The sequence below is a fragment of the Homo sapiens genome, chromosome 17 (assembly GCF_000001405.40).
Source record: "Homo sapiens chromosome 17, GRCh38.p14 Primary Assembly".
Classification (NCBI taxonomy): Eukaryota; Metazoa; Chordata; class Mammalia; order Primates; family Hominidae; genus Homo; species Homo sapiens.
In genome coordinates this window covers 18,013,868-18,039,225 of record NC_000017.11, presented here as the reverse complement: position 1 = coordinate 18,039,225, position 25,358 = coordinate 18,013,868, and the positions used below count along the sequence as shown (strand labels likewise).

The 25,358-nt window shown below is 48.0% G+C and overlaps 2 protein-coding genes across 16 annotated transcripts in view, besides 5 other annotated features; one reads left to right on the top strand and one right to left on the bottom strand.

Annotated features, from left to right (window-relative positions):
* Nucleotides 20–129: an enhancer, noted in NCBI's record as "active region_11822". NCBI's record gives its function as "activates an Ori minimal core promoter by ATAC-STARR-seq in GM12878 lymphoblastoid cells {active_cell/tissue: GM12878}" and the evidence as "EXISTENCE:reporter gene assay evidence [ECO:0000049][PMID:35858748]".
* Nucleotides 58–24,167, top strand: ATPAF2 (ATP synthase mitochondrial F1 complex assembly factor 2). Of its 6 annotated transcripts, none has more exons than XR_007065531.1 (8): nt 58–345; nt 10,567–10,611; nt 10,849–10,994; nt 12,810–12,907; nt 14,522–14,602; nt 17,369–17,481; nt 17,563–17,804; nt 17,988–18,080. XR_007065531.1 is itself a non-coding variant. In XM_011524065.2 (8 exons), exons 1-8 carry the CDS (start codon nt 213–215, stop codon nt 23,023–23,025), a joined length of 792 nt encoding a protein of 263 aa, XP_011522367.1. In that variant the 5' UTR covers nt 58–212; the 3' UTR covers nt 23,026–24,167. The 6 variants fall into 6 exon arrangements, 5 of the variants coding, with proteins under 5 accessions (XP_011522367.1, NP_663729.1, XP_005256905.1 ...); XM_011524065.2 differs by lacking the exon at nt 17,563–17,804 and adding an exon at nt 22,966–24,167 and having other exon boundaries at nt 17,988–18,103; NM_145691.4 differs by lacking the exon at nt 17,563–17,804 and adding an exon at nt 20,540–21,205 and having other exon boundaries at nt 17,988–18,103.
* Nucleotides 270–319: an enhancer, noted in NCBI's record as "active region_11821". NCBI's record gives its function as "activates an Ori minimal core promoter by ATAC-STARR-seq in GM12878 lymphoblastoid cells {active_cell/tissue: GM12878}" and the evidence as "EXISTENCE:reporter gene assay evidence [ECO:0000049][PMID:35858748]".
* Nucleotides 330–399: an enhancer, noted in NCBI's record as "active region_11820". NCBI's record gives its function as "activates an Ori minimal core promoter by ATAC-STARR-seq in GM12878 lymphoblastoid cells {active_cell/tissue: GM12878}" and the evidence as "EXISTENCE:reporter gene assay evidence [ECO:0000049][PMID:35858748]".
* Nucleotides 16,686–16,849: a silencer, noted in NCBI's record as "fragment chr17:17925691-17925854 (GRCh37/hg19 assembly coordinates)". NCBI's record gives its function as "represses an EF-1alpha promoter that drives an FKBP-Casp9 reporter gene in an ReSE screen in K562 erythroleukemia cells {active_cell/tissue: K562}" and the evidence as "EXISTENCE:reporter gene assay evidence [ECO:0000049][PMID:32094911]".
* Nucleotides 21,777–22,071: a silencer, noted in NCBI's record as "tiled region #6800; K562 Repressive non-DNase unmatched - State 7:EnhWF". NCBI's record gives its function as "represses a minimal TATA promoter and a strong SV40 promoter by Sharpr-MPRA in K562 cells {active_cell/tissue: K562}" and the evidence as "EXISTENCE:reporter gene assay evidence [ECO:0000049][PMID:27701403]".
* DRC3 (dynein regulatory complex subunit 3) overlaps nt 22,337–25,358 on the bottom strand; it is a 44,077-nt gene continuing 41,055 nt past the window's right edge. For 9 of the 10 annotated variants that reach the window (XM_024450964.2, NM_001130090.1, XM_011524018.3 and 6 more), the window contains 2 exons: nt 23,031–23,162; nt 22,337–22,668 (listed from right to left, as the gene is read on the bottom strand). In XM_024450964.2, the coding sequence (XP_024306732.1) occupies nt 22,555–22,668; nt 23,031–23,162 (246 nt within the window). In that variant the 3' untranslated portion in view covers nt 22,337–22,554. Of the gene's footprint in view, nt 22,669–23,030; nt 23,163–25,358 lie in introns of those variants that run through there. The other variant, XM_011524023.3, reaches the window with a different exon arrangement.

Genomic DNA, 25,358 nt, shown 5'->3' with positions numbered 1-25,358 from the left:
GATTGACTGGGGGTGTGCGCAGGAGGCGCGCGGCGGCGACGGCGCGCCGTAGGTGTCATGCGGAAGATGGCGGCGTCCAAGGGAGGTTGAGGGCTCTGAGGAGGCGTTGAGAGGTTTCCGTACAGCCCGACCGTGCGGCTTTGGGGATCCCATCGCTCTGTGTTTCCTGCTCCAGGTTTCGCGTCTCGCATCTTCCCAGACCCTCGGGCGCGATGTGGAGGAGCTGCCTCCGGCTGCGGGACGGGGGACGCCGTCTCCTGAATCGGCCGGCGGGTGGCCCCAGCGCTTCTATGAGTCCGGGGCCAACCATCCCGTCTCCAGCCCGGGCTTACGCCCCGCCGACAGGTAAGACCATGACATGTTCTTTTGGGTTGGGGCCGAGCTGGGGTAAGGTGGGCTTCGGGCTTCGGCTGTGCAAAGCGAAGTAACTGAGGCAGGGTTCAGGCTCATGAGGTTATGCAGGCCAGTCAGGTCTTTTTACAGATGAGAAAGTGAAGCCCAGACAAGGGCAGACGACCCGAGAGGGAACAGCGAGTCACGCACGATACAGTAATTGATATTTGGCCTGTGCAGGTTTTCTCAAAGCTTATGGCTGCCCTCCCTTTAATAAGGAAAGCAGGTGTCATCTTTGTTTTCAAAAGGGGAAGTTTGGGCTCTGAATCAGGACTTCGTCTGGGTTACAGGCAGACTCTCTCAGAGGTTTGTGGTGTCTGTCTGACTGTTTTCCGTGTCTCCACTGCCCAACACAAGACCTGCCCAGAAGGGACCTAGAACCTGGGCCTTCATTCCTCCATCCCGGGCACTTCTGCTGCAGGTTTCCTGACTTTCCCTCCTACCACAACCTCTGCCATCTGCAGCCTTCTCTCCTAAATAGAAATTGACACCTCCACCTCTGACTGTGGAGTCACCTCCACCTCCAACTCTGATGAAGCTTAGAAGTAGTGGCTCTTTCATTGCTGATGGTGAGTGGTGTCAGGGTAAGAGTGAGAATGACTCATTTCAGTGAATGAAGAGCAGTAACACCCTCCCACCATTCAATTAGTTTTATTGTGCTGGAGGCAGGAGGCACGGTTGTCTTTAAGACCCACCTGTATGTATTGGTAGAGAAGCTCAATTAAAGAAGAAAAAGGCCCACCTGAATGATGTTCACTGTTCATTGCAAAAGGTTATAATATTCTGATTAAATTGTGGTTTATAATATCCTGATAAGGGACATACAAAGAAACTGTGAGAACACAGAGAATCGCTTACTCCCATCTTGGGGATGTTCAGGGTTTAGAATGGGTCTTGGGTGAAAGGGCGTTTGTTTAAGCTGAGCCATGATAGATGAGTAGGAGTTCAGCAAAAAGGTGGGAGAGTGTTGGGTATCTAGAACGTGTCCAGGGTGACAGCAAGGTATGAGGGACTTTTCCCTGACACTGCCTGTTTTAGAAAATCCAGAACTTCACAGGCAGTTTGGCATTGTGGCAGGAGTGCAAATCTAGGATCTGATGCTGGCTGAACCTCTGAGGTCTGTGTGATCTTGGGCATGCAACTACTTCCTCATTTTTCTCCATGCGTTGAAGTACTAGGTTGCCTTTGAGGATCTTTCTGGCTGTCAAGTTCTTTTTTTTTCTTCTTCTTCTGTTTTTTTGTGTTTTTTTGAGACGGAGTCTCCTCTGTCACAGAGGCTGGAGTGCAGTGGCACCATCTCGGCTCACTGCAACCTCCGCCTCCCAGATTCAAGCGATTTTGTGGTCTCAGCCTCCCAAGTAGGTGGGACTACAGGCGTCTGCCACCATGCCCTGCTAATTTTTGTATTTTTAGTAGAGATGGGGTTTATATTGACTAGGCTGGTCTCGAACTCCTGACTTTGTGACCCGCCCACCTCGGCCTCCCAAAGTGCTGGGATTACAGGCGTGAGCCACCGCGCCCAGCCAAGTTCTATAACTTTATAGAAATGGGGAAGGGGGCTGGATGCAGCAGGGAGCTGAAGTTTCACCTGCAGGACTCAGGGGAAGGGCCTGGAAATGGGCCATGAAGGGCCAGTAAAGAAGAGAAAGGAAGGGCATCCCAGGGAGGCATAGCAAAGGGGACACATTCAGGAGTTCACCAAGTTGGCAAAAAGCAAAGGGTTAATTAATTTATTTATTTACGTATTTATTTATTTATTTTGAGATGGAGTTTTACACTTGTCACCCAGGCTGGCATGCAATGGTGTGATCTTGGCTCACTGCAACCTCTACCTCCCAGATTCAAGCAATTCTCCTGCCTCAGCCTCCCAAGTAGCTGGGATTACAGGTGTCCGCCACCACACGTGGCTAATTTTGTATTTTTAGTAGAGATGGGGTTTCACCATGTTGGCCACACTGGTCATGAACTCCTGACCTCAGGTGATCCTCCCGCCTCAGCCTCCCAAATGCTGGGATTACAGGCGTGAGCCACCATGCCTGACCACAAAGGGTTAATTTAGATTTGTGGATGCTCACTTTACATAATGGTGGCACTTGATCTACTGCCTTCTTTTCCTTTTTAAAAAGCCTAAACTTACTAGTTAGGCTCTTGGAAGTACCTGGCACATGGTAGGTAGTCAAATGTGAAAGAAAATAGGAATGAATGAATGAGAAGGGAGGTGCATAAATCAGGCCCATGCATGCTTTTTTTTTTTTTTGAGACAGAGTCTTGCACTGTCACCCAGGCTGGAGTGCAGTGGCGCAATCTTGGCTCACTGTAAGCTCCGCCTCCCGGGTTCACGCCATTCTCCTGCCTCAGCGTCCCGAGTAGCTGGGACTACAGGTGCCCACCACCACACCTGGCTAATTTTTTTGTATTGTCAGTAGAGACGGAGTTTCACCATGTTAGTCTGGATGGTCTCGATCTCCTGACCTCATGATCCACCCTCCTCAGCCTTCCAGAGTGCTGGGATTACAGGCATGAGCCACCGCGCCCGGCCCCCGACCCCCACGTGTTCTCTCTAAAGACCTTACCAGTTGTGAGATATTTGTGCGTATTTGAAGTAGTAGAAGATTAAACCGCAGTGGGTTCTTCTCAATGAACACTTCAGTCAGCAAGCTGATTGAACTTGGCCACTTAGGAATGGCCATGCCATTGAAGGTTATCAGAAGGAGAGGAGGAGTTTACGAAAGGGTCACTGAGGTGTTGGAGAAGGAGATATTGCAACAAGAAGACCTATATGAGGTTGTTGTGGCAGTTTAGTTCTGCACCAGCTTATCAGAGGTCTATTGACTCCCAGAGTGGCAGGTGTTCTGGAGAAACCTATCTATTCAGCGTATCTGGCTGAATGCAACTGCCTGATGAAGTCAAGGCTAGAAGTCTTGTCTCTGCTATTTACCAGTTGTCTGTCACCAAGACAAGATGTTTAGCTTCTCTATCACCTCCGAGGCATTAGCTGCCTTGTCATCCTCATAGAATAGTGGTGTGGATTGAGGGAGATTATGTAGTCTGTAGATCAGGGTCCAGCCTGCCACCTGTTTTTGTAAATAGAGTTTTATTGGAACACAGCCACATGCATTCATTTACATATCATCTATGGCTACTTTCACTACAGTGGCAGAGTTGAATAGTTGGAACAGATATTGTATGGCTTGCAAAGCTTAGAATATTTACTATCTGATTCTTTGCAGAAAAAGTTTGCTAAATGTTATACATTTGGCCTGAAGGATTTTTTTAACAGCTTTATTGAGATATTTACTTGCTATACAATTCATTTACTTGAAGTGTAAATATAATAGTTTTTAGTATATTTACAGAATTGTACAGCCATTGCCACAATCAATTTTAGAACATTTTTATCACCCTTAAAAGAAACCTGCACCCTTTAGCTATCATCCACCCTTACTACTTCCATCCCTTGGCAACTACTACTTTCCTTTGTTCTTTTATAGATTTCCCTGTTTGGGACATTTTATATAAATAGAATGTGGTCTTTTTTGACTGACTTTTTCACTTAGCATAATGTTTTAAAGTTTGGGTTTTTTTTGTTTTTTTTTGTTTTTAAGAGATTGGGTCTCATTCTGTTGCCCAGGCTGGAGTGTAGTGGCACGATCACAGCTCACTGTAACCTCAAACTCCTGGGCTCAAGTGATCCTCCTGCCTCAGCCTCCCAAGTAGCTAGGGCTACAGGCACACACCACCATGCCCGGCTAGCTTTTTAGTGCTTTGTAGAGATGGGGTCTTGCTCAGGCTGACCTCAAACTCCTGGCCTCAAGTGATCCTCCTGCTTCGGCCTTCCAGAGTGCTGGGATTACAGGAGTGAGCCACCATGACCAAACGTTTTTAAGTTTTATCCACCTTGTATCATGTATCAATGACTCCATTCTTCTTTATTGCCAAACAATATTCCATTGTATGTGTAAATATGCCACATTTTACTTATCCATTCATCCATTGGTGGACACAGGGTCGTTTCTACCTTTTGGCTAATATGAATAACGCTACTATGAACATTCATGTACAAGTTTTTGTGTGGACATATGTTTTCATTTCTCTTGGACATATACCTAAGAGTAGAATTACTGGGTCAAATGGTAACTCTGTTTAACTTTTGGAGGATCTGCCAGACTGTTTTTCAAGGTGGCTGTGCCATTTCACATTTCCACCAGCAGTGTTTGAGGGGTCCAGTTTCTCTATATCTCAACACTTGTTGTTGTCTTTTTTATTACAGCTGTCCTAAAGGGTTTGAAGTGGTATCTCATTGTGGTTTTGATTTGCATTTCTCTGATGAATTATGTTGAGTATCTTTTCACGTGCTTAATGGCTATTTGTATATTTTCTTTGAAGAAACGTCTATTCAGATCCCTTGACCATTGTTTTTTTTTAAAGAGAGGGGGTCTTGCTCTGTCACCCAGGTTGTAGTGCAAGTGGCTCAGTTACAGCTTACTGCAGCCTCAACCTCCTGGGCTCAAGCGAGCCTCACACCTCAGCCTCCAAAGTAGCTGGGAACTACAGGTGTGTGCCACCATGCCCAGCTGACTTTAAAATTTTTTTGTACAGACAGGGTCTTGCTATGTTGCCCAGGCTGGTCTCAAACTCCTGGACTCAAGCAATCTTCCCACCTCGGTCTCTCAGACTTGAACATTTTTAAATTGGGTTATTTGTTGTTGTTTTTGAGACAGGGCCTCGGTCTGTTGCCTAGGCTAGAGTGCAGGGGTGTGTTCATGGCTCACTGCAGCCTCAACCTCCCAGGCTCAGGTGATCCTCCCATGTCAGCCTCCTGAGTAGCTGGGACTACAGGCACGTGCCACCATGCCTGGCTAATTTTTGTATTTTTGTAGAGACAGGGTGTTGCCATGTTGCTCAGGCTGGTCTTGAACTCTTGGACTCAAGTGATCCACCTGCCTCAGCCAGCCAAAGTGCTGGGATTACAAGCTCGAGCCACCATGCCCAGCCTATTTGTCTTTTTGTTATTGAGTCGTAAGAGTTCTTTATGTATTTGGGCTGAAGAATTTTGATACCTGAAAAGAGTTGGTTAGAGCCGCCCTAGGATTACAGATGGCCCTGGAGTTAGAATTTCACCTTTAAGGTTTAAGGCCCACCAGATGGCACTGTTTTAAAAGATAAAGGCACTGAGACAGCTCTGAAACCAGTACTTCCTCTTCTTGGTGCACTGTGGGAGTTGTGGTTCCTGAGGCTGGTAATCTTTCTAAAGGAAAGGCCAGTTCTGCATGATCCTACAAAGCTAGGCTGATTTTTTTCATCTTTAAAGACAGGGTTACCATTGATGTCTGCTAACCATGTATTCACCGAGAACATGGAAGCTTCATAGGTTTCTGGTGGTCTCACATTTTGTCTTATGTGACATTGTTGGGGAACATGGATCCCCCAAACGAATTGTCCAGATCATGTTCTTTTTTTTTTTTTTTTTTGAGACAGAGTCTCATTCTGTCACCCTGGTTGGGGTGCAGTGGCGCAATCTTGGTTCACTACAACCTCCGCCTCCTGGGTTCAACTGATTTTCAGCCTCCTGAGTAGCTGGTATTACAGGCAGGCAATACCACACCTCGCCAATTTTTTAATTTTTTGTAGAGACAGGGTTTCACCATGTTGGCCAGGCTGCTCTTGAGCTCCTGGCTTTAAGTGATCTGTCCCCCTCGGCCTCACAAAGTTCTGGGATTACAGGCATGAGCCACCATGCCCGGCCCCAGATCAAGTTCCTGTATGCCTGTGTGGAGCCTTTACTTGGCTCCCTTTGCTGTCTTTGCAGTGATCTACATGTCCCCCATATGTGGCCCCATTGCCCTCTCTAGCATCTTAGAGAATCTTGCATTCTCCTTCTGACCATCTGTCTAGTCCACAACTGCTCTCTAGAAACCCTGGTCCTTCATGCAACCTGTTTCTTCATCTGGAAACTACTTCCACAGCCCTGCTCTGCCAAAAAAAAAAAAAAAAAATTGAATCAATCAGAAAGTTTGGTACCTCCTGCCTCACCTTCAAGTTGCAATTTAATTCTGACTAATCGTTCCACGTGCCTGCCCCATCACAGAAGTCACCTTATTGTTTGCCTGGTTTAGTGTCTGTATTCCTACTAGACAGTAAATGGCTGGAGAGTGCAGAGATGAGCTTTGCACATGTCCCATCCCCAGGACTTGTATGTCCTGGAACATGATCAGTACTCACCAAAGCTTGTTCCAAGACACGTTTGCCCCTCCAAGTGTCAGTGGGTCATTCAGGAGAGCCCCTGGCTAAAACACATCTATGTGCACCTGCCTTCTAATCTGAGGCCTGGCGGCCCCTGGGCTTCTTTTGCCCTTCTGCCGTCTCATTTTCTGCATGGTTTTCTTCTGCTTGGAGAAATTTTTGGTGGCTTCTTCCCTGCCCTCCATCTATCCCACTCCCATCTAGTTTTTTCTTATTCAGTTACAGAAGTGAGCCTGGCCAACAAAACAGAAAAAAGACTTCCCTCTTGGGAAACCTGGCTGTCCCAGGAGCTTTTGAAGGTTCAGCCCTGTGCTGGCAGTTCCTGCCTTGAGTCTGTTCGTCTGCCCCAGGTCTCTTGGGTTCACTTCCCAGACCGGGCCTGGAAGTATGCTAGAGTGCTCACTCTTGTACATTTGTACACTCTGCTGGCTCTTCCTGCTGACATGGGAAGACCCTTTCCCCAGTGTTGAGTCAGAGCTTTCAGAGCCCTTCCCAACTTCCTGCCTGGCCTGGCTTTTATACATGCAGCCCAGCCTGTTGCATTGGAAAACACAAAGGACATGGTCTACCTCACTCCAGACCTGAGAGAGGAAAGGAGGCCTCCAGACCCATGTCTAGCCTGCCATTTGGATATGACCAGGACAGCATGTAGAGAAATTTAAAAGCAGTAGGGTGCTGTAAACTTCTAATTTTAGTGTCAAACGTATGAGATAATCAGTGTTGTGATTTCAGATGAAGGTGCCATAGTAAGACAACATCATCTTGGTGGACAGATCTGATCCTAAAAAAACACTTTATTTTCTTTTTTTTGAGATGGAGTCTTGCTTTGTCACCCAGGCTGGAGTGCAGTGGTGCGATCTCAGCTCACTGCAAGCTCCACCTCCCGGGTTCACGCCATTCTCCTGCCTCAGCCTCCCAAGTAGCTGGGACTACAGGCGCCCGCCACCACGCCCGGCTAATTTTTTGTATTTTTAGTAGAGATGGGGTTTCACTGTGTTAGCCAGGATGGTCTCAATCTCCTGACCTCGTGATCCGCCCGCCTCAGCCCCCCAAAGTGCTGGGATTACAGGCGTGACCACCGCGCCTGGCCTAAAAAAACACTTTAAACTCTGTCTATTTTATTCACTCTTGTATCCCAAGTGCCAAGACACATGGTAGACACACACATATTTTTGTGGGAAAACAATTTGGGCCTTAGTTTAGTAAGTGCAAATGTGGAATGCAATTTTGGGCCCTCTGTCTGTAAGTATTAGTGATAGCAAATGAGATTTATAGAAAACTGATATGATGGGAAAACATAAAAATATTTGGAGTAGGCTGGGCGCAGTGGCTCACGCCTGTAATCCCAGCACTTTGGGAGGCTGAGGTGGGCGGATCACGAGGTCAGGAGATCGAGACCATCCTGGCTAACATGGTGAAACCCCGCCTCTACTAAACAAAATGCAAAAAATTAGCCAGGCGTGGTGGCAGGCACCTGTAGTCCCAGGTACTCGGGAGGCTGAGGCAGGAGAATGGTGTGAACCGAGGAGGCAGAACTTGCAGTGAACCGAGATCGCGCCACTGCACTACAGCCTGGGCGACAAAGTGAGACTCCATCTCAAAAAAAAAAAAAAAAAAGGCCAGGCGCGGTGGCTCACGCCTGCAATCCCAGCACTTTGGGAGGCCAAGGCAGGTGGATCACGAGGTCAGGAGATCAAGACCATCCTGGCTAACACGGTGAAACCCCGTCTCTACTAAAAAAAAAAAAAAAAAAAAAAAAGCCAGGCGTGGTGGCGGCGCCTGTAGTCGCAGCTACTCAGGAGGCTGAGGCAGGAGAATGGCGTGAACCTGGGAGGTGGAGCTTGCAGTGAGCTGAGATCGCGCTACTGCACTCCAGCGTGGGCAACAGAGTGAGACTCCATCTCAAAAAAAAAAAAAAAAGAAAAAGAAAAAAAATATTTGGAGTAAAACCAGTTGCCCACTTCTCCATTACCCTTCCCTGTCCATGCACACATACTAATTTCTCCTGAATTTTCATGGTCTATTTGAATTAATGAAATTTTAACTTAAGCTTGTTTTTTTTTTTTTTTTTTTTTTCCCCAAGAGACAGGGTCTTGTTCTGTTGCCCAGGCTGGAGTGCAGTGGTGCCATCACAGCTCACCTGAAGCCTCAGCCTCCTGGGCTCAAGCAATCTTCCTGCTTCAGCCTTCCTAGTAGCTGGGGACTACAGGCATGTGCCACCATGCCTAGCTAATTTTTAATTTTTCTTTTTTTTTTTTTTTTTTTTTTTGAGATGGAGTCTTGCTCTGCCACCCAGGCTGGAGTGCAGTGGCGTGATCTCAGCTCACTGCAGCCTCTGCCTCCCGGGTTCAAGCGATTCTCCTGCCTCAGCCTCCCGAGTAGCTGGGACTACAGGCATGTGCCACCACACCTGGCTAATTTTTGTATTTTTAGTAGAGATGGGGTTTCACCACATTGACCAGGCTGGTCTCGAACTCCTGACCTCAGGTGATCCACCCGCCTCCGCCTCCCAAAGTGCTGGGATTACAGGCGTGAGCCACTGCGCCCGGCCTCATTTTTGTATTTTTTGTAGAGATGGGGTCTCATGTTGCCCAGCTTGGGTCTTGAACTCCTGGCCTCAAGCAGTCTTCCCACCTTGGCCTCCCAAAGTGCTAGGATTATAGGCATGAGCCACTGCGACCAGCCTTTTTTTTTTTTTTTTTTTTTTTTTAGCGTTAAAGGCAAACTATTTGGCCGGGCATGGTGGCTCACGGGTTGGATCACTTGAGGTCAGGAGTTCGAGACCAACCTGGCTGGCATGGCAAAACTCTGCCTCTACTAAAAATTCAAAAATTAGCCTGGTGTGTTGGCGCATGCCTGTAATCCCAGCTACTCAGGGGACTGAGGCAGGAGAGTCGCTTGAACCCAGGAGGTGGAGGTTTCAGTGAGCTGAGATTGCACCACTACACTCCAGCCTGGGCAAGAGAGTGAGACGCCATTTCAAAAAAAAAATAATAATAAAATAAATAAATAAAGCAAATGATTTACTCTTTTTTCTTCCACATGCTGCATCATTATTTCCAATAAATAACTTCAGTTAGGGTCTCCAAAGACTTTGAGAACTCAGTGAACACATGAACGAGTGAACAAACGAATGAATGAATGAAAGTTTTGTGTTTGTCACAGATGTGAGAGACTGAGTTATAGCTTATAGCTTCCAAAATGTGACTTCTTTGTTATCAGTTGAGGGAATCTGCATAATTCCTTAGAAGTGCTCTTGGTTGTTAATCCCTCCAGGGTAAAAGAAGGAGACTGTTTCATGTAAGATTTTATTCAAGTTATTTTCAAAAGAAAACAAAGGACATAGATTTTCCCATTCTTGAAGGAAATGTTTGGAGTTCCTGTTGGATACACAAGCAAGCTGGTTAATTAGGTTAATTAATTGGAGAGAGGGGATGGGAAATGCCCTTGGGAGCTCTGTATCCTGCCGATGTATCACACACGCACACCCTGCGCACGCACACTGGCTTTCCACTCACTCCTTAGAGGCATCAGAGTCTTGCCTGAAATGGGTCTCTAGCTTTGTCCCACTCAGACACCGACTTTAGGTTTGAACTCGTTGTGCTGGCATGAGGTGGCACTGGTGGTGGGGAGGGTGGGAGAGCATGCCGAGATGCTCCTGATCAGACTTGTCCCCAGGCTGCGGGGCTGGCAGAGGTATGACCAGCATGTTCTGTTCCTCCCTTCTCCCTGGAGATCAGATGTTCCCTTCCCCCAGCTTTAATCAGAAGCGGTTGATTATACCGTGTTGAGTAGGGCAGACCTTGAATGGGGATATGAAAATCAAGCCAATCAATCAACATTAGCAGTAATGATACAAGCTGGTCCTGTCGCTTCCTGAGTTGTCTCAACGTTATTTTAAACTGCCTCTTTGAAAAATCTTTCTTACAGAAAGGAAGAGGTTTTATCAGAATGTCAGCATCACACAGGGTGAAGGTGAGTGTCTGAAATTTTGACTGCCTCTTTTTTTTTTTTTTTTTGTGAATGGTTGGGAACATTTTTCATCTTCAGCTGGTTTCATGGTGCGATTATCCTTCCTGCTTTTTGTGAGATATATTTCTGTAAGGGACTCAGAGTTGGCTTTGTCTGCACCAATTCAAGTGGCTAAATATAGGAATGGTCACTTGATTCCACTTAACAAATCCCTGAGAGTTTTTCATTTGATCTTTCAAGGTGGCTTTGAGATAAACCTGGACCACAGGAAGCTGAAAACTCCCCAAGCCAAGCTCTTTACCGTCCCCAGCGAGGCCCTGGCCATTGCAGTGGCTACTGAGTGGGATTCCCAGCAGGATACCATCAAGTACTACACCATGCACCTGGTAACAAGTTCACAGTGTGAACCTGGACCCTGAGACCCACCCAGGGCTTCGTAGGGTAGACCCTTTACCAAATTCCGACAAGGCCCTGGGGGCTGGTCCTTTGCCTGTCTGGCCCCCAGGGATTCACCTCCTCTCAAGTCACTAACGTGCTAAACTCTTTCCTTGTCTGGCCCGGCTACTTGCAGCTCTCTCTCCTAGGAACACTGTGCTGGATGGCTGGTTTCTCCTTTGGTTTCAGGACAGATGTCACCTTCATTGACTGCCCAGCTCTCTTATTTTCTATGACAGCAGCTGGCCATTTGTTTTGTCAGCACTTAGGCAATTTATAATTGTTTTATGTTTGCACATTTATTGTCTGTCTCTTCCACTGCCTGGTAAGCAACAGAAGGGCAGGAGCCATGTCTGTTTTACTCATCAGTGTCTGGACAGCCACTAGCAGGTAATTTAGTTGGTACTCAGTAAATATTAGTTGAATATAAGATCCACTGGAGGCAGATGGGTGAGGTGAGGAAGACTCCCTATAGAACCAGCCCCCTCGTCCACACCAAAGTGGCTCGCCTAGGCACCAAGGCTGCCTGGGGAAGGAAGGGCCCAGCTACACTCTTAGGTCCAGCCTCTGCAGCTTCTAAACTGTAACCTTGGGCAGGTTGCTACCCCTTTCGCAGCCCCATATTCCCCACCGATTAAAGATGAGTGATAATAGTACCCACCTCACGGAGCTGTGGTCAGGATGAGATGAGATGATGCAAGAAAGCCCTTGGCATGGTCCCCAGCACTGACTGGGCACTCAGTCAATACAGGAGTCAGCTGCTATCATCCCAGCCGCTGCTGTGCTCAACCTTTGCAAACCCAGGTGGGCCTCCTCCCAACATCACAGCCTGCTGAGGTGGTTGGCCTGGTCCTTGACAACCTAGTGAAATTAGGGTGATTAGGGCTACAAACGAATAGGGTAACCTAAGCAGCCTATTATTGACAAGGTAAGTCTGGAAAAAAAAAGATCTTTTTTTTTTTTTTAAACAGTCTAACTCTGTTGCCCAGGCTGCAGTGCAATGGCATAATCTCGGCTCACTGCAACCTCTGCCTCCTGGGTTCAAGCGATTCTCCCGTCTCAGCCTCCCAAGCAGCTGGGATTACAGACGTCCACCACCATGCCAGGCTAATTTTTGTATTTTTAGTAGAGATGGGGTTTTACCATGTTGGCCAGGCTGGTCTTGAACTCCTGACCTCAGGTGATCTGCCCACCTCAGCCTCCCAAAGTGCTGAGATTACAGGCGTGAGCCACCACACTTGGCCGAAAAAAATAATCTTGATCCCGATTTGCATGGGCTATTTCCCTACTTTCTAAGGTGTAAGGGAGGCAGCTGGTAAAGGTTTCCAGTCAGATTTGAGCTCCATCACTAATACATGTCTTATTAACTGTATTTGACAATGTACTTAACCTGTCTGGGCCTCAGTTTTCACATCCCAGATGGACATAATAATAGTACCTACTCCAAAAGGTTGTTGTGAGGATTAAATTAAATACACTAGAGCCTGGTAATAAAAGGCATGTGACCATGGGGGAGGTTCACTAATCCTGGGGCTGCTGCAAGCTTCCCTCGAGTCCTGTGAGCGTCAACACAAAGCATTTGGCATGGAGCCTGGTTGTGGCACACTCTCAGTAGCTGTGCTGCTGCTCCGGTAATGCAGACGCCTCTGGTGGAGGGCTGTGCTGTGGTGCTGTCTGCTATGTGTCAGATGTGGTGTCCTCAGGAAAGCAGGGCTTTTGCCTGAGCCCCGCAGGCAGTGACAGGGTGGTTTTTGCCTTTGATTCAGACCACATTGTGCAACACATCATTGGACAACCCAACCCAGAGAAACAAGGATCAGCTGATCCGGGCAGCCGTGAAGTTTCTGGACACCGACACCATCTGGTAATGGACATTTAGATGGGCATTCCCCTTGGATTGAGGCTATTTTTCCTGATTTGCCCAGATGGTTATCAGTGGAAGAAGAAACCCTCTCCATTTATTGCAAGGACAAGGAAGGTGGCCCACTTGACTTTGGCACTTGGCTGCTCTGTAGCCCCTTAGGAGGAGGACTCCTCGGGCTACAATGGTGTCAGAACATGGCCACCCCTCTTCTCTAGCCCAGAAGCTGCTCCTTAGGCTGGGAGGGTGGTTATGCAGCTCTTGCAGGTGCCGTGACCACAGGCCCCTTAGGCCTAGGGGGGCCTGTGACCTTAAACTTCTGCCCACCGACACTTTCTCAGGTAAAGCATCCTTGGCACTATGGATGCTGATAACTAGGAGTGTCCTTCTCCAGTTCTGAATTCTCCTCTGTGTCTATGTTTCTTGGCTAATTGTTCAGTGATGCCAAAGGAAAGTTGAGAAACAATGGAAATGATTGAGCAGCACCGTGCCTGCTAGCCCAAGTGCTCTAGGATCCTGAGTCATCTCACGATGACACAGGAAGTCAGCACTGATGGCTGGAGGCGTGCTTTCGAAGGGGGTGACCCATAGCTAGTGGGAACGCCCACTCCATTTATATTAGGGTTCACTTGATTGCAGGGAGCAGAAACCCATTCAACCTAGCTCAGACAAAAAGGGGATTCTTGAAAACTATACAGGGATCCTGACAGGAAATGAAGGACAGTTGGGTCACCAGGAAAGGTAGCTGGAAGATCCAATGTCAGAGCTCCTCCCTGTGCCCTACTAGGGTGAGAGGAAGGTGAGGGAGGAAAGGCTGGTTGTCCATCTGCCCCTCCCAGCACCCCAGCTTTTCCTGCATAACTCATGACCTCTCTTCCCCACTTTGCTTACACAAGACAGTGGATTTCCATAGTGCCCACTTGGATTCCCATCCCATGAGGCCCTGCAGCTCAGCTCCTCTCAACTGGCTCATGTCTGTGTCTCTTGGTCAAACAAATGGCACAGCCTGACCTCTAGCTTGGTCCCATCAGGTCTGGCATCTGTGCCAGCAGCTGCATCTGTAGCCAGGAGGTGGGTGGACTTATGAGGTATAAACAGGCTATTTGGTCTGTGACCAGGGGCACAGTCTCTTGGAGGGGGTGAGGGTAGAGATGCAAAGACTGAGCATCTGGCACAGCATTCCCATTCAGCATCTGGGTCAAGCGGGTGTGGACCCAGGGTTGCAGTTAGTAGATTGGATCTGCTTTAGGATGGCAGTAACAGTGTGGCAAGCTTGGACCTGTCAAATATTTGGGGGCATTTAGGGTAGTGGTTCTCAAACTCAAGCTTACACTAGAATCCCCTAGAGGGCTTGTTAAAACAGATTGCTGGGCCCCCCTCCAGAGGTTCTGATTTCTGTAGGCATGCAACCTGAGAATGTGTATTTCTAACAAGTTCCCAGGCGATGCTGGTGCCAGGGCCACACTTTGAGAACCACTGCTTTAGGGGAAAAGACTTGTGGGGCTGGGATGGTGGTGGTGAAGTTTTTGCTGTTGTCCTTTGTGTTTTTCCTTTTCTATCACTGAATGAAGGAATTGTACTTTTTTATTAATGAAGGTTATTTTTACAATGAATTAGCTACAGGGTGGAGGAGCCCGAGACATTAGTGGAACTTCAAAGGAATGAGTGGGATCCAATCATCGAATGGGCTGAGAAAAGGTAAGATGTACAGCCCTGCAGAAAGCACTGACTGGGCACCTGCGTTTGGTGGAGTGTAGGGGTCAGGGGGTCACGCTGGAAAACTAGTGCCCTTAGCTAGTCAGCTTTCTGATTTCAGAGCACTCGTGGGATTTGGCTCCCCTCATATGATCAGGGATAGGGTCATCCTGGGAAAAAAGCACCTCAAATTTAATTTCAGCCACTAGGTACAGCACACCTGCTGTAGCGGTTCATGAAGTGTAGGGGCAGCTCTGTGTCCTTGGAGAAGCAGTGGAGTTCCCAGGCCACCTTCTGCCAGCGGGTCAGAGCAGCAGTGTCGGTTTGAATCCCAGCTCTGCTGAAGACTCAGCTGTGTGACTTGGCTAATGAGTTGATCTCTCTGAGCTTCAATTTTCTTGTCTATAAATGGGGCTAATAATCCCTACCTCTCAGGGTTTGAGGAGGAATAAATGAATTGATGCATGTAAAGGCTTAGCATCCTGCTTATTAGCACACAGTAAATGTTCAAATTTTGGCAGTGATTTTAATCTTTGTCACAATTGCTGTACTATTAAATAAAATAACAGAACAACATATACGATATGTATGCACTTGGAGAAAAGTCTGGATAGCTTCCTGCAAAATTACGGGTAACATCCAATGGATATGTAGCTTCCAGGAATTGATATGAAATATTTTTCTTTAATAGGAAGACTCTTGAGTGCAAAGTTGAATGGATTATTGATGTGGTGGCAAAATAAATTCAATTTCATTTGATCCCAAGGGAAATTTGGAAGGGCTGGCTTTCATGGTACTACCTTGACTGTGGTATTTTCTAAGCTTGCAAGGCACATTTCTTGGTATAGCAGTTTTCCACAAAAGTGATGTTACCAATCAGTTCACTGATTTGCCACATGCTGCCCGATGCTCACAATGTGGCAGGTGTCCTTGGGTCTTAAAAGAGAAGGCAAAGGCAGTGCTCTAAAGACCAGACTACAATACTATGTGGGAATGTGACAAAACAGTGTCATTTCAGAATCTAATGAAATGTAATAATAATTTAGGTGCCTAGAGATCTTTGCTATAGTATAAAATCATCAGATTCTTGTGGCAGGAAATACCTCATCCTTAAGAGTTTATAGAAAAACTTAGCCATTTCTTACAGTCCATTTGTACTATTAGGAATTTCAGCAAGGATTTTTTATTTTTTCTTTCTTGAGATGGAGTCTCGCTCTGTCGCCCAGGCTGGAGTGCAGTGATGCGATCTTGGCTCACTGTAACCTCCACCTCTTGGGTTTAAACGATTCTCGTGCCTCAGCCTCTCAAGTAGCTGGGATTACAGGCGCCCACCACGCCCAGCTAATTTTTGTGTTTTTAGTAGAGATGGGGTTTCACCATGTTGGCCAGGCTGGTCTCGAACTCCTGACCTCAAGTGATTGCCCACCTCATTCTCCTGAAGTGCTGGGATTATAGGTGTGAGCCACTGCACCCAGCAGGATTTTTTTTTTTTTTTTTTTGAAAGGAGTCTCGCTCTGTCACCCAGGCTGGAGTGCAGTGGCGTGATCTCAGCTCACTGCAAGCTCCGCCTCCCAGGTTTTATGCCATTTTCCTGCCTCAGCCTCCCAAGTAGCTGGGACTACAGGCATGCACCATCTACACCCGGCTAATTTTTTTTGTATTTTTAGTAGAGACGGCGTCTCACCGTGTTAGCCAGGATGGTCTCAATCTCCTGACCTCGTGATCCGCCCGCCTCGGCCTCCCAAAGTGCTGGGATTACAGGCATGAGCCACCGCGCCCGGCCCCAGCCGGATTTTTTTAAGCAACAGAAAAAAATCAGTGATATATGGAAGAAAATTACAAAAATTATTTTTATCCCCCATTGTGTTTTTCTGTTTTATTTAGTTATGATTATTCTTGAAAATGTATCTTCTCAGCCAGGCGCAGAGGTCAGGAGGCGGAGGTCGCAGTGAGCCGAGATCATGCCACTGCACTTCAGCCTGGGGTAGAAAGCAAGAAAGACTTCATCTCAAAAAAAAAAAAAAAAAAAAAAGTTTGAAAAAATGACTGCTGACTGGTCATGGTGGCTCATGGCTGTAATCCCAACACTTTGGGAGGCTGAGGTTGGCAGATCGCGTGAGTCCAGGCGTTTGAGACCAGCTCGAGCAACATGGTGAAACTCTGTCTCTACAAAAAAAATTAGCTAGGTGTGGTGGCACATGCCTGTAGTCCCAGCTACTTGGGAGACTGAGGTGGGAGGATCGCTTGAGCCTAGGAGGTCAAGGCTGCAGTGAGTCAAGATCATGCCAGCGCACTCCAGCTTGAGTGACAGAGCGAGACCCTGTCTCAATAAAAAAGAAAACCTCCATGATATATGACATAAACATTATTTTAAGGAAAACCATTTTAAATATTGTTTTTAACTTTTATATGTCCTCAAATGTGAAAAACTTTAAAGAGATGTAAAAGGCAGATGGCCTTTTGATGGAGATTCCAGGTGAATGAATGAGCATTTCAGGCAGCTGCGTATAACCGAGCCCTAGCTCACATGACTCAGGAACCATCCCTTCATTCAGCACAGTTTCTTGGTCCTCCAAGTTTGCTTTTGAGGGACAGAAAATCAGGTCGGGAGGCCACTGACCATGGTGGCAGTTGCTCCTGTAGTCAAGACTAGCTCCTTGGCCAATGCACACACATGCTCTGAAGCTTAGGCCTTTGTTTCTAGTCAAAAGGTGGGCTGCTCTTGGGCTACAGCATGACAGAGACATGCCGAAGCCCTTTTCCTTTCAGATACGGCGTGGAGATCAGCTCCTCCACCAGCATAATGGGACCCAGCATCCCTGCCAAAACTCGGGAGGTGCTCGTCAGCCACCTGGCATCTTACAACACATGGGCTTTACAAGGCATGTATGGAGTTTCTTGTGGGCTTGGCAGGTGGCTGTGAAGGCCATCAGTGTCTGAAGCCTGTACTTGCCCCTCCCCAGGTCCTGTGAGTGGAGAGGCACAGAGTGTTCTGGGCTAGCTGAGTGTGGAGGCTGGGTGGCTCTGATGCTAGCCAATCACTCTACGCTCTAGGCTCACACCTTTCCACCTTCGACTTCGCCAGCAGAAGTCTTGAGTTCAATCTCATTGCCCTGGCTTGGGTCACATGTCCATCCATGAACCAATCACTAGACTGGGTGCGGAAAGCTCTGATTTGCCAAGTTCGGGTCATGTGTCTCACTAGGTAAGAGCAGAGGAGGATCACCCCCAGGGAAGACCAGAGTGCTCTTTCAGAAGAGTGGGACAATCGCTGGATGGCTCTTTGCACCACTCACTCCTGTTCTCTGCTAGGGCTGCTGGGACTCACAAGGGGTAGGTTGTGGCAGCTGCCCTGTTTTGGGTTCTGACTTGGCTTGTGTCCCTGCAGGGATTGAGTTTGTAGCTGCCCAGCTCAAGTCCATGGTGCTAACCTTGGGCCTGATTGACCTGCGCCTGACAGTGGAGCAGGCCGTGCTGCTGTCACGCCTGGAGGAGGAGTACCAGGTGAGGAGCAGCACCTCAGGTCCCGCCTCCCCCTTCCTAGTTCAGACTCACTTTGGGGGAGCAGCTAACCCATCTGAAATATAGTTATGCATACTTGGCTTTTATTACTTTTATGTACACGCAGAAATCAAAATCAAGGACCAGCAGAAGTATTGTCAAGTAGGCCTGGCATGGTGGTTCACACCTGTAATCCCAGCACTTTGGGTGGCTGAGGAGGATGGATCATTTGAGGTCAGGAGTTTGAGACCAGCCTGGGCAACATGGCAAAACCCTCTCTCTACAAAAATACAAAAATTAGCACCTGTAGTCTCAGCTACTTGGGAAGCTGACGTGGGAGGATTGCTTGAACCTGGGAGGTGGAGGTTGTAGTGAGCCAGGATTGTGCCACTGCATTCTAGCCTGGGTGACAGAGTGAGACCCTGTCTCAAAAAAAAAAAAAAAAAAGGTAAGATAATAACAATAAAAAAATAACAGTAAGTGCTACCGCTGTGTTCCTGCATTGTATCCATCTCACCTCCTCTCAGCAGCCTGGGCAGGTAGGAGCTGTGGTTATCTCTGTTTTACACAGAAGGAAATGGAGGTGCAAGGTTGCACCTCTGGAAAATGTGCCAGCTGGGGTTTGAAGCCAGGTCTGGTGATTTTAGGGCCAAGGCCGTCAGGCCTCACTCTGCACAAGGAGGTTCACGGGTGGATAAAGACCATCTGGGCTTGATAAAGCCTGCAGAACAGGCCCTGCCAAGATGACTGAGAACCCGTTTGTGCTCCTTCATCAGCTGAGCCTTCATACCCTGACATTTTATCTGGCTGGCAGAGGAGCATAGGGGTAGCTGCTGTTTGTATACAAGTTTTGATTTAGTGGGCTCAGAATTAAGGTTTTGCCACAGTATGGTTTGCATTTTTTAACTCTGAAAATTATAGCCATCTTTGCAGTCTTTTTATTGTTATTCCACCAACCTCAGAAGGTTAATTGCTATTATGAATTGGTCCCTAATATGGTAAAAACAAACAAACAAAAAAACACAAAACTTTTTGTGATGTATTTCCCTAGTTCTTGTAGTCTTCTGCTCAGAAAAATGCCAGGGAAAAAACTATTTTTGTATAACAAAGGAGGCCCGCTACTATTCTCTGGATGTCAGAACTGATTACATAGGAAGGGGGTGACTTGTAGGGCTGGTGGGAAGCCAGTCTGGGCTCTGCTTCTGACTATGGGACCCAAGCCAGGCCATCATTCTCTGAACTTTGGTTTCGATCCTCTACAAACAGAGGAATAACCTGAATTATGTATGTGATGGTATACAATGAAAGTATGGAATACTCTTCAGATGACATATTACAATTGTACAGTTTGGGACCAGGCAGCCCAGAAGTTCAAATAGCTTGTGTAGCATGGTGGATTCTGAGTTCCTGGATGAGCTGGGGCGGCCAGGCCAGGCCTCTTGGGCAACTAGCCAGGGAGGAGCCAGCAAGGTTTGGTTGGACTTACACTGTCTGGACAGCCACATCGTGTGTCTGAGCGTTCCTCCCTCTTGTTTTTAGAGCTCCAGACAGAGAATCTGCAACTTGTCCCCAGTGTGCAGAGCAGAGGCATCTGTAGTTCTGTGACTACCACAAGAGTCAGAGTTGAAGCCACTGCGTGGCCTTACTTGATTTAGTTATTCCACCCACATGGCGCTGGGGGGCACTTGTAGCCCAGCATGGCAAGGCAACTTGGAGAGGCTGTCCATTCACAGGCTTTCTGGGAGGAAGTGTAGGAGAAGGGATGGCACATAAGGCCTCCTCAAAGAAGTCACATGGGTGGTTCTGGTACCCAGCCTGCCCAGTGGTGGGTGGGCAGCCACTGGCCCTGGGCCTGGGCCTGGACTGCACTTCTTCCAGACCATCCATGCCACAGAGAGCACAGGTGCCTGCTCCGGCTCCCTGGGGGTGGGGTGGTGGGGTGTGTGTGTGTGTGTGTGTGTGTGTGTGTGTGTGTGTGGTGTTTTTGAGACAGGGTCTTGCTCTGTTGCCCAAGTGGGAGTGCAGCGGTGTGATCTTGGCTTACTGCAGCTTCAGCCTCCTGGGCTCAAAGCAGTCCTCCTACCTCAGTCTCTCAAATAGCTGGGACTACAGGTGCACCCCCACCACACCCAGCTAATTTTTAAACCTTTTTGTAGAGGCGAGGTTGCACCATATTTGCCCAGGCTGGTCTTGAACTCCTGGATTCAAGCAGTCTTCCTGCCTCGGTCTCCCAGAGTGCTGGGATTACAGGCGTGAGCCACCGTGTCTGGCGTACCTGGGTGTTCTTACCTGCCACCTCCCCCTAGGCATGTCTCATGTGTTTTGGCAAGATACAAACCTGTTGCCCTCAGCCAACCTATTGGAATGGAACGTGGCTTTGGTCAGGAGGCAGCCAGGCACTGGCCACTCACCCAGCAACTTGTCTTGTCCTTCCCTCAGATCCAGAAGTGGGGCAACATTGAGTGGGCCCATGACTATGAGCTGCAGGAGCTGCGGGCCCGCACCGCCGCCGGCACCCTCTTCATCCATCTCTGCTCCGAGAGCACCACAGTCAAGCACAAGCTCCTGAAGGAGTGAGGCCTGGGCAGAGCACACTCAGCAGGATAGAGGCAGTGCAGCCACAGCTCCCCCGGCCTTCAGGGCTCCCCAGCCTGTGGGGCTGGCTTCCTTGGCTTTTGGGGACTCGGCCTCAGCGTCACCCTGAGATTCCCCCCGAGACACAGTGCGCTAGTACGGCTGTCCGGAGGTCAGCCTGATTTCAACCCAGGTGCCCCTGGCCTGGCCAGCAGTGAATGTAGGAGATGAATTGTGCAAGTGACTTTCTCTCGACTCTGATTTTATTAAATATTTCTCCACCCTGGAAATGTGCTGAGCCCTGTTTTCACGTATGCCTCTGCACTTCTCCATTCTTCCTGTTTTGTCTAGGTTCCAGAGGGTTAAACAGCTTATCTCCCATGGCGTGTTTGGATATCTGCTGCCTGTGGTCAGGAACCTTGCACTGGGGAAACAATCATGTAATCCACAGACAACTCTATTTGTGTTCTTCAGCCTCAGCCTGAAGGCTTTTTTTTGGCTGGCTTTTAATCAAACAATCTTTTGAAACAATTGTGGTCTAAGCTGGTTGTTTCTATTTGTTCCTACTGTTCTAAAACAAATGATTTACTCTAGAAAGTAGAAAATAGAAGTTGTTTCTGGGCTAAAAGCCTGGACAGGCTTGACAAGGTCACCTGATGTGCATGTTTCCGCTCATCTCCCACCCAGGAGTCCTAAGGGTCCTCCTGACATAGCCACCTCTAGTGTCCCAGGAGGCAGGCGCTACTTTCTGGTGTCAGGCCAGTAAGAGGGCAGGGGGGAAGAGTGGTTCTCAGGCAGACAGGCTCTCTCAGCCCTGTGTCCTTGCCAGCCTGAGTAAGGTAATGGCATCAACCCTGCTCACAGGGCACTGATCGCATGCTGGGTGCCTCTCCACGCTTCCCATGCACTGTCTCCCTGAACTGTTCCTCGAAGGCACTGTGAGGTACTGTCACAGATGACACCAGGGCTGCGGGGGTGACATGGTGGAGCTGGGATGCCCTGCCTGCACTCTGCTCTTCTGGAGGGTCCTCAGGTCCTTGTGGCTAACCTCAGCCTTGGTGGGCAGGCCCAGGCCCCAGCACTGTGGTGGGAGCTGCAGCCTCTCCTCCTGCTTCCCTGCCCCTCAGCACCCAGAGCAGAGAAGGTCTTAGCCCACACCGGCCTCCTTTTGCCTGTGGCTGGCAGCCTGCCTAGGCATGGCAGGGGAAACGGCAGGGGCACGTGTCTGACTTTATGCCACAGCCAAGAATCTAGCTGATGGCAGTGCCCTTGGGAGTTGCTCTGTCAGCTGGCCTGGGACCGGCTGTTCATCTCAAACTCTTTCTCTTGTTCCTACATGAACATTTTTTTTTTTTTTTTTTTTTTTTTTTTTTTTTTTTTGAGACGAAGTCTCGCTCTGTCGCCCAGGCTGGAGTGCAGTGGTGCGATCTTGGCTCACTGCAACCTCCGCCTCCCAGGTTCAAGTGATTCTCCTGCCTCAGCCTCCTGAGTAGCTGGGATTACAGGTGCACGCTACCACATCTGGCTAATTTTTGTATTTTTAGTAGAGACAAGGTTTCACCATGTTGGTCAGGCTGGTCTCGAACTCCTGACCTCGTGATCTGCATGCCTCGGCCTCCCAAAGTGCTGGGATTACAGACGTGAACCACCGCACCCAGCTGATTTTTTTTTTTTTTTTATGAGTAGGGGAAATGTGAAATGAGTCCTTTATTTTCTCTACTTTTGGAAGTTTTTCCAGGGGTGGGGGAAGAATGGTGTTGGGGATCGCGGTTGAGAGATGCCCAGCAACTCTCTAGAGGTGCGGGTGAGGCGTGTGCACTTCCTTCTCCTGGCTGGGGCTGGTGCTATGTTTTGAAGAAGCTCCTGTGGCTGACATTCATCTAGTCTAGGATGTCGCCACATTCCAGGTTGTCCAGTTCGCTCTGCATGTGGTCGATGTACTGATTGATCTCCTTCACGCGCTTGCGGTTCCTCATGATCTCATCCTTGTGAATCTGAGGAGTGAAACCAAAGCCCGATTCCTTACATCAGATCATTGGTTAATATCTTTCACTGAATCCAGTTTGAGGGAAGGGGAAAATAGTTCCTTTAGATCTGCAAACCTCATTTGCTTCAGCGCCTCCCCAGGTTCTGCTGATCTCTGTATATTTGAGGTAGGAATTAGGAAAATGATGAAGCCCATGGGTTTTAAAGTCTCTGGGCAATGTTGTCTTCAGTGTGGAATTCTATAATCCTTAATTTTATTTCTTCCTTCATTTCATTCCTTAATGAAAATTCTATCCACTACCTAGGGAGGATTTCCATGTCAGCTAGAAAAGTTCATCCAGCCTGCTAGGATGGCTTGGGATTGACTCACCCTGTCTATTAAACGTGTACACCAAGAGTTGATTCTGGTCACCAGCTCATCTTCTCGATTGTCAATCTTCAGGAGGTGGATGTCGTGCGATGCCCCGACAGCATTAACAATCGTATCTTTATCGACAAAAAGCTGGTGAGTGAAAAGAATCCAATGAGAAAGTGTGTGTCATTATACCGTGAACACAAAGGGAGCTGAACAGAGAAGGAGCATTTGGAAGTCCCCTGGCTGTGCAGGCCACACTCAGAGCAGAGCCCACCTTTGTATCAGCGCACTCTGCCGATTCATCTGTGAATTCATCTGTGACAGCCGCTTCCCCAACTGCACAGGGCAGGTGTTGTGGGGAAAGGGCCAACCAGGGTGTTACTTTGCAGTCCCCGCTGGAAGCATGTTTCCTCCAGGGTGAAGGCAGATGGCTGCCCAGGGGGCACCTCACCCAGGACATCTGTTCTCACAATGCTTCTCTCTCAATTACTCTCAAGTCTAACTTGCCCAAAACCTCTGCCTGCTGGGTGGAAGCATGAGGCTGGCTGAGGGTCTCGAGGCTGCTCTGAAGACAGCAGGCCCTACAAACTCATGGGTGTTCACCCCACAGTTGTCTCTCCACTGCCACTCATGTCAACAAAACCAAACTTTGGATTCCATTTGGAGTATCCTTCTGCCTTCTCTTGTTCCTGACTTTGCTGTCTTGTAAAAAGTTGTTAGAAACAACCACCTTCTAATAGGCCTCACTGGTTCTAGGTGTTGACACTGTGGCTATTGTTGCCTGGGATGGTTGAAATGGAGTCATTTCCCAGAGCAGGGCAAGGCCACTGAAGCACTCAGTAAGCAGTTGCTTCCACCTTGAAGCAGAGGCGCTTGGTAAGGCAGAGCACCTGAATGCTCTGTATTGCAGGGAGGATTTGCAAGTGGAGTGTGCATTTTTTGTTCTTTCCTGTAGTGGCAGTTAACTTAATGGTCTCTAAAACGTTCTGTGCAATCTTAAGATGTTAATATTTCTGCCAAAAAAAGTATTCTTTGGTCAAATACATTTGGGAAAGCCAGCACATCCTAGGCCCCTCCTAAAGATTTGCTGGGCACAAAGTATTCTGAAGGCTCTACAAAGTCCTGTGGAAAATAAACCCTTTAAGCTTTGTCTCTCTTGGTTTTCCAACTTTTTTGGCTACAGACTTCAGAGTAATGCCTGTTAATGTCTTGTGGGATGCTGATTTTCCACATAATCTCATGTGGGAAAAGCCAGGTTAGCTGATATGTGGAATGGGGTGTCTGGGGGACCAATTAGCACAGTCACAAGGGAGAAATGTCAAGAAATTATTAAGTTCTTTCCATGTGTGTACAAGGTCCCAGGCCAGGCTCTGGGAATGGTTCAAAGGTGTGTAAAGCCTGTTTTCGGTGAGCCTTGGCAGTGTGCTTAGGAGTGGGTGTCCTGGTTATTTTAGAGATAACTACAACCACAGTGTCAACCCATCACGAAAAGGTTCTCATCCTTCATTCTAAAAGGTGGGTCATAGTGGAGCTCTAAGCCAGGCAGAGAAATCATACCCCTCAGAGTTTGAATATGTAGAAAACAGCTTCAAAAGCTGTGAGAAGCAACAGAAACTGAAATCTGCTTAGAAACATACATGATTAGAATTGGTTATGAAAAACTGTGTGACATTTGTAAAATGAAAACAAAAGGAAACTGGGTTTAAGGGAATTGTTTTGAAATGTGAGTTACAAGTTGTTTCTGGACTTTGGGTGGCCTAGAGTGGTGGCTACTTCAATTTTCCCTCTTAGAATAGTTTTTATGGGTAGAATATTCCAGATCCCTCTCCAGTTTCTGCAGGTTGAAAGCACTAGGGTGGAGGCAGGGGCTGTGCAAACAGGTATTCCTGAGTCTTTTTTGAGCTGTTGCCCTGCTCTGTGGTCCTTGTGGCTGTAAAGACACATTTCTTTCAAAGCAACTTCTTTGTTTAAACACGTTGGCACTGGCCGGGCACGGTGTCACATGCCTGTAATCTCAGCACTTTGGGAGGCCAAGGCGGGAAGGTGGGTGGATCACCTCAGTCAGGAGTTCAAGACCAGCCTGGCCAATATGGTGAATAAAAATACAAAAATTAGCTGGGCATGGTGGCGGGTGCCTGTAATCCCATCTACTTGGAAGGCTAAGGCAGGAGGATAGCTTGAACCTGGGAGGCCGAGGTTGCAGTGAGCCAAGATTGCACCACTGCACTACAGCCTGGGCAACAACAGTGAAACTCCACCTCAAAAAAAAAAAAAAAAATTGGCATTAAAAAAATTGACAAATAACTGTACATATTGATGGGGTACATAGTGATGTTTCAACAC